This window comes from Homo sapiens, chromosome 21 (genome assembly GCF_000001405.40).
Source record: "Homo sapiens chromosome 21, GRCh38.p14 Primary Assembly".
Classification (NCBI taxonomy): domain Eukaryota; kingdom Metazoa; phylum Chordata; class Mammalia; order Primates; family Hominidae; genus Homo; species Homo sapiens.
In genome coordinates this window covers 22,503,434-22,525,932 of record NC_000021.9, presented here as the reverse complement: position 1 = coordinate 22,525,932, position 22,499 = coordinate 22,503,434, and the positions used below count along the sequence as shown (strand labels likewise).

Below are 22,499 nucleotides of genomic sequence, written 5' to 3'. Positions count from 1 at the left end.
ACTTATGTTTATTAATGATAATTTAAAAATATTACTGTATTTAATTTGCCAAGATTTGAGTAGGAATTTGCATCTATCTCCCTGAGGGTTATTTGAATATAGTTTATATTATCTTTGTAGCAAGTTTTTTTTTTTATTAATACATTTTCAGTCCTTTTATAGGTGAACATTTTTGTGTTATCTTCTCATGAGTGTACTTTGCTTAGTTATGTTTTCAAGTTAACTTAATTTTCTATCATGCCAAATTTATGCATGGAAAGTCTTTCTTAAATTATTTGAAAAATAATTTTAGTGTCTGTTGGTTAGTGGTCCTCGCCTTTCCTCATCAGGGGCCGCTTTAGTGGAAGACAACTTTTCCATTAATGCAGGGGTGGTCTTGGCATGACTCAAGCACATTACATTTATCATTAGATTCTCATAAGGAGCGCACAACCTAGATCCCTTGCATGTGCAGCTCACAATAGGGTTTGGGCTCTTATGAGAATCTAATGCCACTGCTGATCTGTCAGGAGAGGGAACTCAGCTTTGTTCCTGGCCTGCTGCTTACCTCCTGCTACACGGCGCGGTTACTAACAAGCCATGGACTGGGACTAGTCTATGGCCCAAGGGTTGGAGACCCCTGTGTTAGGTGATGGCCTCTTATTTTATTCCTCACAATTTGTTAAATTTGTTCTTCTCTCTTCATTTTTTCTCTAGCTTATTATAGGGAAGCCCCAATCATTGATGTCAGACTGTTCTTCCTTCCAAATATGTGTCATATTCCACAAGTATCCCTATAAACACTACTTTAACTATGCAATTGTAATTCAATTCTTACAAAGATACCAAAGAGTGTAGTATTGTCGCTTTCTTATCTTCCAGTGAGAAGACCACAAACTATTTTACAAATTTGATAATGCAATGAAACAATTGGCCAACAAATAAGGAAGTACAGGAAATGAAAAATAAAAACAATAATAAAAGAAAAAAATTGAATGCAGGTAGAAAATTGGTGCTCATGGGAATGTTGAGACTGTCACCATTTGAGAGATTCTAGATATGCATTTAAAGGAACATACTGAAGATGAAATTGTCAACATAATTGAAAAAAAATGGTTGTTACCAAAAGGATAAAGAAGTCCCAAAGAAAATGACGCTAGCAAAAAAAACTTCCAATTAAACATTCTCAGATATCAAATGAACAAATTTTCATAAAAATACAATGAATAAATTGTTGAAGGCTGATCCAAACTTAAAACGATGTATGTTGCCTCAATATAGAAAACATACTTGGTCTATATTGTAATGTATATCACAAGAATAAGAAGACCAGCACAATTTACAGAGTACTGATAAGTTTCTTACAAATAAATGAGAAGTTTTAAATGAGTTCTACATTTTTTTGTTTCCTATACCTTTATAATCTACAGTAAGATAATTCTTAATGTTTTGATTATGTATCCAAAAATTGCATTTTCTTTTTCATTAGGTGTAACTTTTGTTTATTTTTCTTGTATTATTGCACTGAGTAGAGAGTCCAGGCCTCTATTTTATTCCTCACAATTTGTTAAATTTGTTCTTCTCTCTTCATTTTTTCTCTAGCTTATTATAGGGAAGCCTCAATCATTGATGTCAGACTGTTCTTCCTTCCAAATATGTGTCATATTCCACAAGTATCCCTATAAACACTACTTTAACTATGCAATTGTAATTCAATTCTTACAAAGATACCAAAGAGTGTAGTTTTGTCGCTTTCTTATCTTCCAGTGAGAAGACCACAAACTATTTTACAAATTTGATAATGCAATGAAACAATTGGCCAACAAATAAGGAAGTACAGGAATGTTAACAGACATGTTGTAAGCAAATATTCTTGCTTACAAATGTTAACAGACATGGTGTAAGCAAATATTCTTGACTTATTCCTGATTATAGAAGAAAGATTTTTTTAAAATTTACAATTAAATCCAATATTTACTATGTGTAATTATAGTTGCTGGTTTTATAGCTTTAGGTAGTTCCGTGTGTTTCTTGTTCTGAATGTAGTTTGTCTAATATTGATATACCATTCTTGGTTTATTTTGATTAGTGTGACCACAATGCATCATTTTTCGTTAATTAGTTTTTAATGTTTATACCTTTATAGTTTGAATTATATGTAGATAGAATATACATTGTTTTTTCCTCCAATTTTACAATCTTTGCCTTTTAGTTAACATTGTAAACTATTTTATTTATTTTTAATTTATATTTTTTATTTTTAAAATTTGAGGGATACAAGTATAATTTTGTTACATGGATATATTACATGGTGGTGAACTCTGGGCTTTTCAGACACCACCTGAATAATGTACATTTTGCTCATTAAGTAATTTCTCATTATTCACCTTCCTCCAACTCCTTCACCCTTCCAAGTCTCGATTGTCCACACTCTATGTCCATGTGTATATATTATTTAGCACTCACTTATAAGTGAGAATATGCAGTATTTGGCTTTCTACGCTTATTTCACTTACGATAATGGCCTCCAGTTCTATCAATGTTGCTGCAAAAGACATTCTTTTTGTTGGCTGGGTAGTATTTCATTCTGTATGTATACCACATTTTCCTTATCCAGTCACCCATTGATGGACACTTAGGTTGATTCCATATCTTTTTATTGTGAATAGTGCTTTGATAAACATTCAAGTGTAGTGGTCTTTTTGATACAACAATTTATTCTCCATTGGGTAGATACCTGGGAGTGTTATTGCTGGGTCAAAAGGTAGTTTTATTTTTAATTTTTTGAGAAATCTGCTTATTCTCTTTCTCAGATGTTGAATTAATTCACATTTTTACCAACAGTGTATAAGTGTTCCCTTTTGTCTTTATTCTTGCCAACATCTGTTATTTTTTTTTTAATAATAGCAACCCTGACTGGTGTAAGACAATAGCTCATTGTAGTTTTTTGTTTTTGTTTTTGTTTTTGAGACGAAGTCTCACTCTGTCACCCAGGCTGGATGGCGTGTAGTGGCATGATTTTGGCTCACTACAACCTCTGCATCCCAGTTTCAAGCAATTCTGCCTCAGCCTCCCAAGTAGCTAGGACTACAGGCGTGCACCACCACATCTGGCTAATTTTTGTATTTTTAGTAGAGACGGGGTTTCACCATATTGGCCAGGCTGGTCTCAAACTCTTGACCTCATGATCTGCCTGCCTCGGCCTCCCAAAGTGCTGGGACTACAGGCGTGAGCCACTGTGCCTGGCCTATCTCATAGTAGTTTTAATTTGCATTTATCTGATGATTACTGATGTTAAGCTTTAAACTATATTTAACATTTTAACTACCATTTTTCATGTATTTTATTCTTATTCTGAATTTTGATATATTCATTTATTTTCTACTTTTTTTCTAGAGAAATTATTTTCTATTACTTTTATTTCTTTTATTGATTTTTAGTTGTACTATTTTTTAGGTTCATCTAGAATTTACAATATACATCATTAACTTATTGGGGTCTAGCTCAAATAATATTTTATATTTCCCTAGATAATTACCTAATGCAAAATATCAAACTACCATGGTATTATCAGTATTCTCTATTCTGGCCTTTTAGTATAGCTTCACATTTACCTCCATATTATAAACATAGCAATTCATTTTCAATGTTTTCTTCTAAATATTCAGTAATTATTTTTAAAAAATTGAAGGCAAAAGCAAAAAGCTCATTTATGTGTACCCATGCATTTAATAATTCTTATGCTTTTCATTGATTTGTATAGTTCTACATTTTCCTTTCATATATTATTCTCTGTAACAAGAAATCATCAATATTTTTTGTAGAACTGATATGGTGACAATACATTCTTTCAGCTGCAGTATATGTGAATAGCCTTTATTTTGTCTTCTTTTTGTTTTAACAAAAAATATGTATTTCTGAGTTTAGAATTCTATGTTGTCAGCTTCATTTTTCTTTCTACCTTTTAACAATGCCCTCCCATTGCTTCCTGGCTTGCATTGTGTGATGACATATATTCTGTATTTGTATCTTTGTCACTCTCTACTTATGATGCCTTTTAAAAACATTTCTCATCCTAATTTTGAGTCATAAGCTATTGTTTTTTCCTGCATACCTGTTAGTTCTTGATTCAATTATGGTAAGTTTTAGATTGTCGCATACTTGAATTTTTTGACATTTTGGGACTTTGGAGTACAGTTAAATCAATTAAAATCAATTTTACCTACTTGAGGGTTGATTTTAAAGCCCAGTGAGGGCAAAACTAAAAGCAAAAACCAAAATTTACTGTCCATTTTGAAAGGTTTCAGCTCTGGCTGATAAGAAGTCAACTATTCTTGGCTCCGTTTGGGTGACATAGATTGTTCTGTTGCACCTGCTTGCTTCTATTAATTCTTTTACGGATGTCTTGTTTTCTCAAATAACTTATGTGTTCTAAGTCAGCCAAATATTCAAGGACACTCTTCCTCAAAGCACTAGAGCTCTCTTTCTTAGTGTTACTACTGCCATTTTGTTGTAGGACTTTCTCCTTAGTTCATCCAAAAACAGGGTCCTTGTCACATGACCATGAAAGATTAAGCTCACAGACATTTTGAAGGGTGCGAAAAATGGAATTTATTGGGCAAAGAGGAAAAAAAAAGAAACAGGGACTCTCAGCAAAGTGAGAGTCCTGCTAGCCCATTTCCCACCTCACAGACTGAATCCCAGGTGCCACCCTGGAACAGGAGAGGCCAGGCTCCCCCGCCCCCACCCCCGCACACAACGCCAGCTTCCCAAGGCTACATCCCAGTGCACACTCCTCCCTGCATGCAGGCTGGTCAGAGGTTCGCTGTGGACCTCTTTATTCTTGGTTGTCTCATTTCCCCTTCTAAAGAAGTACGTCTAACTGCTGTTAGAATAAGGATAAGGACGAAGACCGATCTTAACTGCTTCCTGCTGACAGGTGGCACTGCTTTGGGAAAACAGCAGTCAGACCTCTCTCAGAAGCCTGTTTAAGGGTTCCCAGCAGAAGGCACTATCATCAGAGGCTCTGGTTGCTTGACTGTTTGGAGTTTGAGGGCCTGAAGGCAAGAAGAGACAAACCGGGTTATTATAAAACATGTATCAAAATGAGAAAAAGGGAGTTTAAACATCCTGAGGCCTTTTACCAGCTTGCACAGAGAGAAGGAGGCCAACAGCCCGACACGTTAAAAAAAAAAATCAACAACAACAACTTTACCCTTTTGCCAGCATGTTGGGTTTCTGGGCTCCCTTCCCTGAGTCCAATCCTAAACCAACCAGCTTAAGGTTTGGGAAATTAACTCTTTCCAGTTTGGAGAATGCAACTAAGGGGAGTGTCCCATAGTACAGAGACACAATTACCTATCAGTGAAGAGAGGACAAAGGAGGAGGAAGGAAAAAAGAAGACATTTTTTCAAAGGAGACCCAGGGGTTCAGGATGCATTTGAAAGGGGTACAGACTGAAGATGAATAGCTACTCAACTAGAAAGAGGGGAGTAGGCATCCCTGGTTCCCTTTTCTTTCTAGAAAATACCCGGGGTACATGAGGGAGAGAAAGAAGAGTATCCTCTTTCCCTCTTTCATCCTTGCGTCCTCAAGTCCCTGTGACCTTGGCAGGTGCCACCCATGGGTCCCAAAGCTGCTTGCACCCAAGAAGCAGAGAGGGGCTACAAAATAGGAATTATCTGCTCTCACCTATATCTCTCTCTCCCTTACTGCCAGTAGCCTTGGAGTTCCCTAGACCTCATTTATGCCATGGATATTAGCATGACATTTATTCATGAAATGGGAGGCTTGGCTTAATCAGTGGGAATTAGCCATGCTCACCTTTTAACTGTGCCTTTTAACTTCAGTCATCATCTGCCTCTGGATTTCTTTGACCCAGTTTTCTTTCTTAGGGCTTTGACCTAAAGCTTGGAGTTGAGTTTGGAACAAAAATGTGTCGTGAGGGGGGTTGCATGGACTCCTTATCATACGCCAAATCTAAGATGAAGCTGTGGAATTGAGTCCTCCTCCAACAAGGGAAAGAAAAGGATAACTTACACCTGTAATCCCAGCGCTTTGGGAGGCCGAGGCGGGCGGATCACGAGGTGAGGAGTTTGTGACCAGCCTGACCAATATGGTGAAACCCCATCTCTACTAAAAATACAAAAATAAATTAGCTGGGCATGGTGGTGCATGCCTATAATCCCAGGTACTCAGGAGGCTGAGGCAGGAGAATCGCTTGAACCAAATAATTTTATTAGCAGGTAATAGTTCCAATTTTTATCTTTTTTCATATATAGTATATTTTTGTATATATAGCATATATATAATTGTATATCTAGTAATTTTTCATATATAGTAATTTTTATTTATGACAAATATGATTATTTGACTTCTTAAGCATTAATGCTTTATTTTTAAAATAGGCTTTTATTTTTCCAACAAATTCTATTAGTACCCTTATTTGAAGGAACTGTGTTAAAGAAATTTGAAATTACTTATTCCTTAGCTAGATTTACCCTAAACAAATTTCAGCATTATGCTTGATGATAATTATGATTATTGTGTGCAAAAATTATCATATGAAAAATTTCAGTGACTTGGTTTTAAACACACGACAACGCTATTATACGGCTTATCTGGGTTATACAGGTAATTGATGCCAAAATTGTTTTAATAGTTGTTCTATTGAGTTAAAATAAAATGGAAAATTGACTGATTATAGTTTTTGGATAAATGAATTGTAAAAGCCACAGCTATTCACATCTAAAACTAATGACCATTTGCAATTATCTTTTGTATCAATGTATTTTAATAGTAAAATGAATTAGATTCTATTAACTTATTTTACAATGAATACAGTTAAAGTTATTTAACAACATGATCTCCTAGGTTGAGCATAATAAATTTTTTCTATAATGCAATTAAAGAATAGTTTTGTCCTTTGAGAAGAGACACAGGTGATGGCTTTGTTTTTATTTCTGTTTAGCAACTGTGATTTGTTATCTTGTATTTCCTACCTCAAGATGATGCACATTTAACAGTTGCGTCTTGCCAGCTGCTCACTAGACTTCTGTGTTACATGGCTATTAGAATATTATATGGATTCCTCAGAACCTGTCACTACTGATATTGTCAATCTTTTTACAGATGCCCGTGAGTTGACAAGTTGTTTAAACGCAGATGTTACAATAAGTCAGTTTAAGATTTGGTGAAGAAAGTAGATAAGGTAAACTCCTTGTTTGTTTTTATTTCAAAAAAGAACACATAATTTATCTTTCATATTGAATTATAGTGGTCAATTAACCTATATAAAATATAATTGTTTGCAGAATAAATAAAACTACACATAGCTAAAATTATAATTGTTGACCTGAATTTATAGAATCAATTGAAAAATAGTATATATAAAGTGATGGAAGGAAGACAGTTTTGTTTTTTTTTTTGAGACAGTCTCACTCTGCAACCCAGCTAGAGTGTGGTACCACTATCTTGGCTCACTGCAACCTCCATCACCCAGGTTCAAGCGATCCTCCTGCTTCAGCCTCCCAAGTAGCTACGATTACAGGCGCCTGCCACCGCACCCAGCTCATTTTTGTGTTTTTAGTAGGACGAGGTTTCACCATTTGGCCAGGCTGGTCTTGGACTCCTGACCTCGTGATCTACCTGCCTCAGCCTCCCAAAGTGCTGGGATTCCAGGCGTCAGCCACCACTCGCGGCCAGAAGATAGCATGTTTAAAAATATACTAAATCAATAACATTTCAATATGCCAGATACAGTGTGAAAGTTTAAGGATACTACAATCCTCAGCCAGAGAGAGGTACAGAGAGAATAGTAATGTCAATGAGTGAGATTCATATCACTTCTTATGAAAACTGTCCCTCTCCTCATTTGCTCTTTTGCCCCTTCCTGCTTTCTCTCCCTCTCTCTCTCTCACACACACACACGCACCTGAGTCAAAGTAAAATCTACACTATCAATCTCAGTGTTTTTGAAAAATACACTACTGTAGAAGATAGTATGCCATGGTACGTTGAGGCATGATCATCTCTTTGATCTAATGCAAATATAATAACTAAAGATTTGCATTGTTGATTTGAATTTATAGAATCAAAATGCGAATGCGTTTTGCTCATGTGCTCTCTTAGTGTTTGAGATGAAGAAACAATGCAAGGACCACTTACAGGAAAAGCTTTGAGAGTATTGTTCAAAGCCTCTTTGGCTAGTCTGTGGTCCATTCTAGCTATATTTCTGTTTAATAACATCACTCGGCACAAAAATTGTGTCTGTTTTAATGATTTAAGGTTTAAAAAGGAAAGATATAGACAAAATCCCTCCATAAATGCCTCTCTTTAATGAAGGGCAGAATGCAAGCGGCTATTTTGTTATAAAAGACTTGGTTAAAAGATTTATAGAAATCTCCTTTAGTTGTGATTGGGAAAATAACATTATTTGTTATGTTATAGAGAGATAGAGAAAGATAACGAAAAAGGAGATTCATATAGTTATATGACTGCTGAAATATGGTTTTCTATTTTCTAACAGATATTAGTTAATTAAAAAACTGAAAAAACAAGATGATAATTCTTAATCATACCCCTACCAAGCACAGTTGACAGTAGATATTTATCGGCTCTTTTGAGATGGGATATTTACAAATGCATTTTTTAAAATTTTTATGAGCTATATTAATTTATTCACAAAAAAATTATAAATTTTTTTGTCTACCAAAATGATTCAACCAGATAAAGCGGTCATTAACCCCACACAATATAAAATAAAGATGAATAAAATTTTTAAATACCCATTTTTTGAAGGCAATCATGCTAAAATTGTTTCCATCACCCAATCTTCTAACTCTAAAATTCCAAAGAGAGATCTCACTATCTGAACATTCTTTCTCTGGGAGCATAGTCTCATTTCCAGCAAGTATTGGTTATTTTTGTCTTCTTATTCTGTTTGGTTTGCTTGTTCTATATGGGAACAAGAAGTGTATATTAGGATCTCAACACTTAAACAAGCAAGGTGTCAAATAACCACCTTCAATATTTTGTGGGGAGCTGAACTTTATTATTAGGTTACTTCTTACTGTTGCCGTTTCCTTACTCCTTAGTTCAGCAAGGTCTGAGTTCTTGTCTCACGACCTTGAGGAATGGGGTACTTGGACACAAGAGGGTTGGTAAGGCAGAACAGAGTTTTATTAAGCAGCAGAAAGTTCTCAGTAAAGAGAAGGGACCCTAAAATGGGTTGCCAACAACAAACTTGTCCCCAGTGGTTTTTATACCTCCTTTCTAGGGGCATCTTTCTCATTTGCATCTTACACAACCCTCTACTTCCTAGTTACTTCCTGGTCTGCACAGGTGCATTCTTGTCCATAGTTACTTCATCTTAATTATTACCCATAAGCACCACAGAAAAGCCCAGTCAGAGAGGTGGGGGCAAACAGCAATGCAGATGTCATGTTAATGATATTATAATGAGCTTGGGTCAGGTTAAGGACATTTAGTTGATTTATTGCACTTGCACCTAAGTCAGGACAGTCCCTTCTGAGCAAATATCCTGGTATAAGAGGAAGTTCTTAACCACATTTCTATCTGCCAGTTGCATAACAGGGGCAGTGCGAGTGTGTTCCCACAGGCGTTATTGGTCTCCCGAGGCCATCCCTCTCTATCTGCCTAGCCAGCCTCTAACTCTTTCCTCTGTCATTACCAGAGAGTTAACCCCTCACTGTATAATATTCTTCAAGGTTATGAAAGTAAAATTTTTTATCTTCCACAGACCTAAATTTTCTCATAATGTACAGATTTGGGAAACAATATTTTTCTCGCCATGTCTTAATAACATACTTTTCTGAAATCTCTTATAAAATTTCAATTCAAAATATTTTAGTGACCAAATCCTCAAATAAAAATAGCCTAAATTTTCTAAGGTGAGGAAGATGATATTTGGCATTGAAATATCTCTGTCATCTCTCTTTGTTTTTCTTATATTATCCAACTTAGAAAATCACAAAAAGCATTTTAAAGATGAAATAATCTAATATATATTTAATTAGGTAATTCTTAAAATCCCTCCTACTCAGTTATTTTTTTCCTTGAGTCACAAATAGAGAAATATAAGGTTTTACCCCAAAATGTATCCTCTTTATTTTTTTCTCTTCTCTCACACACATACACATCATTTTTATCTAAGTAATGTCATATGAAAATTTAAGCTTGAATAGGACAGTAATGTAATTGCTGCAAGAAAACAAAGATGAATAATTTGTATGATCCCAAGGAGCTATTATGTAATAGAAATGATGGAAATAATATTATGTAACAGAAATGAAGTCCCCTATTTCACTTAGTTGAAGGTGAAGAAAACCAAAACATGTGACCCCAAAATATACCTCTTTCACATACATTTTGTTTTAGCACAAAGCAATTTAGAAACACTGAAGCAAAGACAGGAAGAGCTCTTTTTGTCTTTCCTGCCTTTTTCACCAACAGAAATAAATTATTTACTGTACTGGAAACAAGTCTTAGCAGCTCACAGACAGCACTAGAGGAATCTTCAAACAAATCTTATTCTGTTAGTTTACTCCCCTGTATTTACCTTTCCATAATTTTCCACCTCAAGAAGCCCAAAATTGCTTTCCTTTGTCTTATCACTTCTCTAAATTCTATTGCACTTTATGAAAAATGATATATAAAGCAGCATTATAAGCCACTACTCTGTTGCCTTTTATTGCATCTTCTCTCTTACGATGTACTCTACACATATTAATACATTTCCCTCTTTTTCTCTTGTTAATCTTTCTTTTCCTTAAAAAGTCTGTCCCAACTTTGAACTTATAAAGCTTTAGGGGAAATTGTAGTTCTTCCAGAACAAAGTTTTTTTTCTTAGAAAATATTTGCTACTTAAAAACAATATTCAGTAAAATTTTTATTTTTTAACATTTTTCTTAATTTTTGACATTTTTAAATGACCTCACTTTTAATTTTTGTTCTTTCTTATCTCTTTCTATTCCATGTAAATTGTTGATATCAAGAAAATGAACAGAAGTCAATCTATTTTAACAGATTTTTTAATATTTTACAAGAAAGAATAATAAAAAATACCCCCTTTATATAAACCAAATGTATTCTATATGAAGTCCACTCTTTTAAAACATTCTTTAAATGGGCCGGGTGTGGTGGCTCACACCTGTAATCACAGCACTTTGGGAGGCCAAGGCAGGCAGATCACAAGGTCAGGAGTTTGAGACCAGTCTGGCCAACATATTGAAACCCCATCTCTACTAAAAGTACAAAAAATTAACCAGGTGTGGTGGTATGTGCCTGTTATCCCAGCTGCTCGGGAGGCTGAGGCAGGAGAATCACGTGAACCTGGGATGCGGAGGTTGCAATGAGCTGAGATCACGCCATTGCACTCCATCCAGCCTGGGCGACAGTGCGAGACTCCGTCTCAAAACAAACAGACAAACAAACAAAAATCCTTTAAATGAAAACACCAATCATCTTTCAGTTATTTCTTCTTGTATTCTAACGTTGACGTAAATGTTCATTGCAAAACTTATCAAAGGCAAGTTTAAATGTGTTTTTCTAATGAAAATTAGCAAATTATTATTGTTATTTTGTTAACAAAAAATGCTACTGTGAAAGTGTGCATAACAGTAAGGAAAATGTCTTCAGTATTAATGCTAGATACATAAAACAATTATATTGTCAGGCCAGATGTGGTGGCTCACGCCTCTAATCCCAGCACTTTGCAAGGCGAGGGTGAGAAGATCACTTGAGCCCAAGAGTTCCAGATCAGCCAGGGTAACATAGGGAGACCTCATCTCTACAAAAAATGAAAAAAATAGCTGGGTGTGGCGACAGACGCCTGTGGTGCCAGCTACTCGGGAGGCTGAGGTGGGAAGATTGCTCGAGCCTGGTAGGTTCAGGCTGCAGTGAGCTGAGACTGCACCACTGCACTACAGCCTGGGCAACAAAGCCAGATCTTGTCTAAAAAAAAAAAAAAAAAAAAAAAAAAAAAAAAAAAAAAAAATTCTACTGTCTTCATGCTTTATTATACAATATTAAGTTAAAAGTTAGTTCTATATATGCCCTTAAATTTAAGTAAAATTGGACTTTATGGCATCTTATTTTCTATAAAATTAAAGGCATGCTGTATTTATAACGAAGACAGACAAGTGTTTATAAAAGTCATTCAAATTTTCCCGAAACTTTCCATTTTCTTAGGAATATTTTTTGTAAAACGAAGCCATATACATTTATTTATTAAAATGATTCATTATAAAGTATATGTGTTTGTTTATGTGTGTGTATATATATAAAGATAATTCATTAAAGGAGAATATGTAAAATATATATTACATTATATACATTTTTGTGTATATGTATACATTTTAAAAGTATATCCCAGAATGCCTCAAGTCATAAGTTTCATATAGATACATAACAAATTTGATATAGTGTTTGCCCCCCAGATAAATTAATATCCTAAAATAAGTCAAAAGATGCATGCTTAACAATCTTTGGTTGCTACAGCAGAATATATAGTAGAGTGTTCATCTTTTCCAAGAGGCAATTAGATAAAAAGCAATAAATAATGTGCTAATGATATGTCTCTAAAGTGTTAGTGAGAAGATCACAGTGTGTCATAATTAGTTGAGATTTAACAAAAAAGGAAAAGAAAGCCTGCTGAGAAAGCAAATGACTTAGTAATTGGCATTTAAAAGTATCAAAAGTCATCTTTTGTAATTTTAAAGTGACAATGATTTAGCTACTAAATCTGTTCATAGGAACATATGTTCCATTAAAAAATTATAAAAAGTAAAGTAAAATCTTGTCCCCATGCAAAAATCCTTACAAATAAAATAAAAATTATAAACTTTTAAAAAATTTTATTAGAATAATTAATAATGATAGCAGCATACCACTTTAGAAAAATAAGTAGAATTATAAAGGATGATCTCAAGATAAAAAGAATTATCTAAAATTTCAAGGTCAGGAATATTTTTCTCTATTAATTTCTTCTTACTCCTCCTTCCTTGTTTGTGTTTAATGCTACTTCATTTCAATGAATTCACTTATTCCAGCACAACACTTCATTAGTTTTGCGAGAAATTTTTTGTTCTTTTTCTAATTTTTTCACTTTATTCTAAGATCATTGGCAGAAAAGTCTATCTCCATTATTTAGATTTATTGTTAGTATTTTGTATCTATCATCTCAGGAAATTTATTGTACAACTGTTTGGAAATTTAGCTAGTGAGAGATGAATTTGCTAAGACAACTCAGGTTGATATCACTTTGGACAACAAAGAGGGTCTTCTTTAGGATCTGCAGCCTCTTTTATTAATTGTCCTTTTCCCTTGTTTTCAAACTTTCCCTCCTTCCCCTTTCCAGCACACAATTATTTACCTTTCATCTTGTCCCCACAAACTAAATTACTTTAGTAACCATTTAATAATTTTCTATTTTATGTTGTCTATACATTTCAAAACCATAAAATATGGATTCTAAATGGGCAGGCTTTTCCTACAAAATTTCACATATCTTGCAGAAAGTGAAAAACACATGGGAGAGATTGGGCATATGTAGGATATTCCTAATGTCCCAGGAATCTTATTAAATTAAGAATAATCTGTTCCTACTTATGATTGCTATCAAACCATTTGAAGATGGTTGGTTTACTGGTTACAAAAGTACTTCTATCTCTGTCATTCTCACTCTTATCTAAGCATTGATTTCTAGGGAAATTTAATAAAGGACTGAGAAAAGCATGTGCAAATCTACTAGCACACTACAAATAATCCTTCGATACACAAAAGTGAAATGTTAATAGGTGTCTTTCTGAATAATAATAGTAATAATGATTCAACATACAAAAATGAAATGTTAGTAGGTGTCTTTCTGAAAACTGATAGTAATCCTTTAAAATATTCTACTTAACTTTGAATTTTTATGTGTTATCTTGTAAAATATATCACAAGAATCTAAGATGTCTTCACATACACTGTTATCAGATTAACAGATAATATAGAAATAGTTATCAGACAATATATAGAAAGTACTGAATGTCATACAATTTAAATTTGAATAAACTTTGTTTCCTGATAGAGTGTTGTAGGTAGCACCAGGCTAGTGTTTTTACTTCAATAATGAGAAATAAATGGAAATATTGAAATGTGGTCATACTCTTTAAAACATTTGAGGAGTGTGCAAAAAACAAGGTGTAAATAAACTAAAGTTCTAGATAAGGAAGAGAGTTTTCTTAGAGAGCTGGATCTACAGCCATTTTCTTGGATTAGTGTACAATGTAAATATATGGCGAAAATGGATGAAGGTAAACAACAACCCTCTTTTTTTTTTTTTTTGAGACGGAGTTTCACTCTTGTTGCCCAGGCTGGCGTGCAATGGCCTGATTTCGGATCACCGCAACCTCCACCTCCCGGGTTCAAGTGATTCTCCTGGCTCAGCCTCCCAAGTATTTGGGATTACAGACGCCTGCCACCACGCCGAGCTAATTTTTTGTATTTTTAGTAGAGATGGGGTTTCCTCATGTTGGCCAGGCTGGTCTTGAACTCCTGACCTCAGGTGATCCACCCACCTCTGCCTCCCAAAGTGCTGGGATTACAGGAGTGAGCCACCGCACCCAGCCCAGCAGCCCTGTTAATGTCTATCTCTTCTGTATGTCTAAAATTATCCAAAGATAGACATCTTTTTTATAAGACAAAGATTTCTAAATGTGACAAAGAAAATTCATGTGATTGCCATGGTCATGAGAGACACTGTAAGAACATAGATTAAAACTAGAAGGAAGAAAAATGTTATATTTCATAAAGTTTTATATTGTGAACACTAATGAATGGAAGGGTTGTATCCCTCTATTAATAACAAAACACGTAAGTCCCAAGACCAAATATATTATTTAAAGGACAAGAGATAATGATTTAAGGTTCAATCAATAGGAGCTCAGGGCATTTCTAAAAACTTTTTTTTTTTTTTTTTTTTTTTTGAGACGGAGTCTCCCTCTGTCACCAGGCTGGGAGTATAGTGGTGAGATCTCAGCTCACTGCAACCTCCAACTCCCTGGTTCAAGTGATTCTCCTGCCTCAGCCTCCGGAGTAGCTGGGATTACAGGCATGCACCACCACATCCTGCTAGTTTTTGTATTTTTAGTAGAGACGGGGTTTCACCATGATGGCCAGGATGTTCTCAATCTCCTGACCTTGTGATCCGCCTGCTTCCGTCTCCCAAAATGCTGGGATTCCAGGCGTGAGCCAATGCGCCCGGCCTATGCTTCTTATAACATAGTTTTAAAGTCTATAATACTTAAAACAAAAATAGTAATGGAATTCAAAAGAGTAATATAAAAATCAACAAACATAACTGAAGATTGAAATAAATTCCTTTAGTGAAAGATAAGGCATGCAGAAAAAACATTCATGATATCTGTACTTTGAATGCATGATTAATCAATTTACATTTTATACATGTTTAGAATACGAACATCTAAAATGTGCAGAAAACTTCCTTCTCTTGTTGAAATAGATCATATGATGAACTATGAAAAAACAAAGCAAAACAAAACAAACTTTAACATTTTGAAATAATGTAGCATATTCTCCGACCATAGTGAACTCAAACTAGAAAAGTAAAAATAAAAATGAGTGAAAATCATCACATATTTGCAAACTAGCAAGATATGTTATGTAACCCTTATGTCAAATAAAAAAATTTAAAGCATATTTGAAAAAAAATTATAACAATGCTACATGAATAAACATATATGCCAATTTAAAGGGTTGAAAGGCTAAATAGTTATTTAGAAGGCTTCTTTCTTAATTTTCAAACATTTTATAGATTCCATAAAATTTCAAGCAAATCATCAGAAGGCTTTTATTGCCCCTAAAGGGCTTTACAGTCTGATTTTAAAGTTTAAATGGCAATATAAAGGACCAAGTTACTACCAGATTTAAAACGTTGGTAAAACTCATGTCATTGTAGGGAAGTGAAATTTACAAAGACAGATAAATCGACCAAAGAATTAAAATAGATACATACATTGTCACTTTACTTATTGCACTGTTCCAACTACAATTTAGTTAGAAAATGATTGATCTTCTCAATCAAGATTGCTGGAGCAATTGGGTATTTTCACAGCATCTATGATGAACTCACAGCCAACATCATACTGAATGGGAAAAAGCTCAAAGCATTCCCCTTAAGAACTGGAACAAGACAAGGATGCTCACTCTCACCACTCCTATTCAATATAGTGCTAGAAGTCCTAGCCAGAGCAATCAGGCAAGAAATAACAGGCATCCAAATACGAAAAGAAGTAAAATTATCTCTTTACTAATGATTTTATACCTAGAAAAACATAAAGAGTCTGCTAAAAGGCTTATGGCCCTAATAAATCATTTCAGTAGTTTCAGGATACAAAATTGATGTACAAATTCAAGTAGCATTTCTATACACCAAAAGCGTTCAAGCTAAGAGGCTAATCAATAATGCAATCTAATTTACAATAGCCACATATACACCAAAAAAGTACGTGAGAATACATATAACCAAAGAAGTGAGAGATATTTACATGGGTAACTGCCAAACACTTCTGAAAGAAATTATAGGTGACACAAACAAATGGAAATACTTACCATGCTCATGGATTGGAACAATCAATATTGTTAAAATGACCACAGTGCCTCAATCTACAGATTCAACACTATTCCTATCAGACTACTAATATCAATTTTCACAGAATTAGAAAAAACTATTCTAAAATTCATATCAAACTGAAAAAAGAGCTACAATAGCCAAAGCAATGCTAAGCAAAAACCACAAAGCCAGAGCCATCACATTACTCAACTTCAAACTATACTACTGGTCTACAGCAACCAAGACAGCATGGTACTTGTACAGACACATAAACCAGTGGAAAGGGTAGAGAACCTAGAAATAAAGCTGCACACATATACAGCCATCTGATCTTTAACAAAAGTCAAGAAAAACAAGCAATGGGGAAAGGACTTCCTATTTAATAAATGGTGCTGGGATAACTGGCTAGTCATATGCTGAAGAATGAAACTGGGTCACAACCTTTCACCATATACAAAAATTAACTCAAGATCAATGAAAGACTTAAATGCAAGACCTAAAACTAAAAAACCTTAGACAAAAACCTAGGAAATACCATTCTGGATATCTGCCTTGGTAAATAATTGATGATTAAGTTCTCAAAAGGAATTACGATAAAACCAACTGTTGACAAGTGGGACCTAACTAAACTGAATAGATTCTGCAGAGCAAGAGAAATAATCAAGGGAGTACACAGACAACTTACAGAATGGGAGAAAATATTTGTACACTATACATCTGACAAAGGTCTAATGAAATATCCAGAATCCATGAAGAACATAAATGATTCAACAATCGAAAAGGAATGGCCACATTACAAAGTGCTCAAAGAACATAAACACTTCTCAAGAGAAGACATACAGGTGGCCAGCAAACCTGAAAACGTGCTCAGCATCACTGATAATTACAAAAGTGCAAATGAAAAAATCACAGTGAGATACCATCTCAAACCAGTCATAATGGCATTAAAAAGAAAAAAAATAACAGATGTAGGTGAGGTTGCAGAGAAAACGGAACACTTATAGACTCTTGGTTGGAATGTAGTTTAGTTTAGCCACTGTAGAAAGCAGTTGGAGATTTCTCAAAGAACCTAAAAAAGAGCTACTTTTTAACCCAGCAATTCCACTAGTGGGAATAGACCCCAAAGGAAAATAAATTGTTCTACCACAGACACTTGGACTTGAATATTTATAACAGCATTATTCACAATAGCAAAAAAAAAAAAAAAAAAAAGAAAAGAAAAGAAAAGAAATCAACTTAGATGCCCATCAATTGTGGACTGGATAAAGAAAACATGGTACCTATATACCATGCAATATGTCATAGCCATAGGAAAAAATGAAATCCTGTCCTTTGCAGCAACATGGATGCATCGGAAAGCTATTACCCTAAGCGAATTAATGCTGGAACAGAAAACCAAATACCATATGTTCTTACTTATAAATGGCAGCTAAACATTGAGTATGCATAGTATAGATGAGAACAGCAGACACTGAGGACTACTAGACAGTGGAGGGAGGAAGGGAGATGAGGGTTGAAAAACTAACTATTGTGTGCTATGCTCACTCCCTGGGTGACAAGATCATTCAAACCCCAAACCTCAGCATCACAAAATATACCCATGTAACAAACCTGCACATGTACTCCCGAATCTAAAATAAAAGCGAAAATTAAATAATAATAACAATAATAATGTTGATGCACAAATATCTCATTCACAAAAATTATTGAAGTTCTATTACAGAGTTATATATATTACTTTTTGGCTTTCCTGATCCTAGGTCATACAATCAAACTTACTTTTATTTAAGCAACTTTATGTATTATTATATAGTTAATGTTAAGTCCTAGAGGTTAATGATATCACCTAAAAACATACTTTTAACTGTCAGAATAAAAACTCTTGTCTTATATAATTTCACTTTAACTAGAACTCTGGTAGTAACTGATAGAGACTGGATTTTAAATAAGTTTGACAAAAAATACTGTCTTGCCTTACAAAGTGAAAAGATTAGATATCAAACAGAATTTTTGGTGATGCAATATTTCTTTCTTCTGATAACTATGATTTCTCAAAGATTGCAAATATTATCTATACCATTTGCAAATACACCTATTATCCCTGGGAATAGTACTTTAAAGACTTCAGATACACCAAACTATGATTCAACAAAACAAATCATAGAAGTTATCTTAAAGATAATAAAATTTAGAAGTCACCAATTCCTTCGTTTTGGAGAATTAGGAATGATGGGAAACCTTTAGCTTTCTTTCATACAAAACGTTCGTCTTCCTCAACCCAACTATAAATAAATTGAGACAGCCTTTTATGTCCACACAGCTGGATAAAATATTTCCACTTAAAACAAAGAAAAAAAATAAAATCTAAAGTTATTTTTGGACTCCTTATGTCTGATTACAGGTGGTGGCTCACACCTGTAATCCCAACATTTTGGGAGGCTGAGGCAGGCAGATCACTTCAGGTCAGAAGTTCGAGACCAGCCTGGCCAACGTGGTGAAACCCCAACACTACTAAAAACACAAAAAATAGCTGGGTATGGTGGCACATACCTGTAATCCCAGCTACTCAGGAGACTGAGACATGAGAATCGCTTGGACCTGTGAAGCAGGGTTGCAGTGAGACGAGATCGCGCCACTGCACTCCAGCCTGGGCGACAGAGCGAGACTCTGTCTAAAAAAAAACATGAAAGGAATTGTAACATTGTAGGATATCCTCTGAAAAACGTCTTCTGTCATTATATGTTTCTGGTCATTTTCTTTCTCCTCTGAGATTTTGATATTTATTTATCTTCTGGAACCATGGTATCTCTAGAGTTTTTACTACAAATAAGAAATCAAAACAGGACACTTTTGTGATCTATGGGACCCATCTATTTTCTCTGTTGACTTTGTCTTCCCTTTTCCAATGTGTCATGGTATTGCATGAAGAAAATTTCAGTCACCAGTAGCATGCTATGATACCAAACTTAGTAGTTTAATAGTCAGCATTTTGAATTTCTGCCCAAATTTATTTATTAACAAGTAAAATTCTCTGATGGTGTCTTCTCGATTATCATATGAAGTTAATTGTCCCTGACTTATAGTGGCTTTTTAAAGCTAGTAAAATACAGTAAGTAAGAAATAATTTCAAAAGAATTAGGCCAAAAATGAATATTAAATTAACAATTATTAATAATTATTATGTGAATGTTAGTATTGTTAACATTTTAATATTAATGTTTAATGGTATATATTAGAATATATTTATACTTGTCATACTGATATATTTAAATGTTACTTTTATATCAGTCCTTACTATATTGCAGACATATTCTGATAGGATGGGGCTGTTCTTGTGGTCAACATTTTTGGACAGTGCTATACATAATACCTTTGGCATGTAATTAGAAAAGTTATATTATTTGTAATGTCCTGAAAATTTATATTTCTTTTACAAGTAAGGCTTAAGAAAATGCCTTTTTACTGTAAATACATGATGAAAGCAAATCTGCTTATCTCATGCTCTATAATTACACTACCATATATACATTTGTTTAGGCCAAACCCTTGAGGCAGATTATTCTTCTATTCCATCCACTAACACCAGTCATCCCAAACAATGGCATATGCTCTCTGTGTTACCTTCAAATATAGCTCAAATTCCTCCATTTCTCACTATTTTCCATTATAAATAGCTATTCTGAGTCAATAGCCTAATGTACCTTGCACCTGCCTTAGGGATCTTCCTTCCATTCTTCCCTGCCCACAGTTGTTTTTCTAAAATGCAGCAACCTCCTCAAAAGGTAGGTGAGATCAGATTATCTCCCTGTTTATTGTACTATTCCAATAAATTTCCGTTGCAAACATCTTTTCATGCTATACATGTGCCTATACAAACTGGTTCCATCTCTTTCTCTCCAATCTAATTTCATGCTTAGCTTCTGGCATCCTCAGCCAAAAAGGATGTTCATTCTCCTCAATTTACCATGATGGTTTTTATTGCAGAAAATTGCTTTTCTATATCTAAAGTGCACTTGATCCAGATTTCCATAATATCATTTCTGTATGATCATTTTCTCAGTTCAAGTATCACTATTTCAAGGTACCTCCTTTACTTGCTTCTTGCCATTACCTTGCTTAATTACTTCATAGTATTTATATATCATTGAATTAAGAAATTATTGATTATAGCCTTAACAACTGTGGCATGAAGTTTTACAGTCTTGTTCATCAATATACTTACTGTGAGTGGAACAGTACTGGGCATATAGAAAGTCCTCTACAAAGAGTTGTTCAACTATTTCATATGTCATTTAGGTTAGGTTACAGTGAGATACAAAACGTCATATCAGGACCAAATTGACCTTTTCTTAGATACCTAACAACAAGGGTTAATTTCTCACTCTTGTTGTCGCATGTTCATTTCAGACAAAGTAAGGATTGTGCTCCATATCTCCTCACTCCAGGGATCTAGGCTACTAGAGCAACTAACAGATTGAAATTTTTCTGTGACTGTGGCAGAGGAAAAGAAATCGCAGTAAGCTTTTCTAGTGGCAATTAAGTGCTCATCTGGCATGGCTTTGACTCACGCTATTGCCTCTTACAATTAATTGGCCTAAACTAGTCAGATGCCCCACCCAAACACAAAGCAGTAAGTTATAAAATACCATTAAATAGGAAGAAGGAGGGATGAAAATGTATAACTGTGTTCTAAAAGCAATTTGGTCTTAAAATTAAATTTTGAAAGTTTTCATATCAAAATTCAGTCATCTGCTTAGGTTAAACCAGACATAGGGCAAATTTTATTTAAAATACATCCTACAACAATTGTCAGATGTAAACCTGTAATTCACATCTGGTCCTATGACCCAGTATCTAGACATAAGTCATTTTCTATGTTTTATATTCCTTATTCAAGACTGTTATAATTTAATGTAATATAACATAAAATGATGTAAAATTTAAAATTAAAAGTATTCAGCTGGGCGTGGTGGCTCACGCCTGTAATCCCAGCACTTTGGGAGGCCGAGGCGGGTGGATCACCTGAGGTCGGGAGTTCAAGACCAGCCTGACCAACATGGACAAACCCCCTCTCTACTAAAAATACAAAGTTAGCCGGGCGTGGTGGTGCATGACTGTAATCCCAGCTACCCAGGAGTCTGAGGCAGCAGAATCACTTGAACCTGGGAGGTGGCGGTTGCAGTGAGTCAAGACCCTGCAATTGCACCCCAGCTTGGGCAACAAGAGCGAAACTCTGTCTCAAAAAAAAAAAAAAAAAGTATTCATGTCACAGTGAATTTGAAAAATAACAAAATTGCAGCATTCAGAAAGGTAAGACAGAAACGTTTCAAAGTAAATATTTTTATAGGAAATATATTTTGTATAAACAGGGTTCCTGCACAATGATGTAATAGTTATGGAATAGAGGTTTTATAACTTTCTATTACATAGCAAAGGACAAAAACATCCTTATATATTTCAGCTTGCTTCTTATAAAATAAGGGGTTAGACTAAATGTATAGTTATTTTCAGAAAGAACATGTGTTCTTTGATCACAAATATGCCGTTTTTGATGTTTTCCTGTCTCAGGTAATGGTATCAACCTCTTCACAATTATTTATAGATCTGACATTGAAGAGATTATTTCTGGAGCAGCCCTCTGAATATCCCTCCCCATATAGTCAGCTGTAAAATTTATAGATTTATAACCAGAAATTTATCATTCTTGCCTTTTCTGTCTGAAATATTCTCACTCTGAAAAATCTTTATGGAATAAATACCACCAAGAAATTGAACATATAAGTCTAACTCAGAGAATAGGGAATACGCTTAGCAGCCTCAAGGAAGATGAGAGCAAAAAGAAGACAGTGATGGAGACAATGTACTCTCATACCAAGACTGGATG

At 34.6% G+C, this 22,499-nt stretch overlaps 1 annotated feature.

Moving 5' to 3' along the window:
• Window positions 9,476–9,676: a silencer, noted in NCBI's record as "peak4381 fragment used in MPRA reporter construct". NCBI's record gives its function as "represses an SCP1 promoter by STARR-seq MPRAs in K562 erythroleukemia cells {active_cell/tissue: K562}" and the evidence as "EXISTENCE:reporter gene assay evidence [ECO:0000049][PMID:32103011]".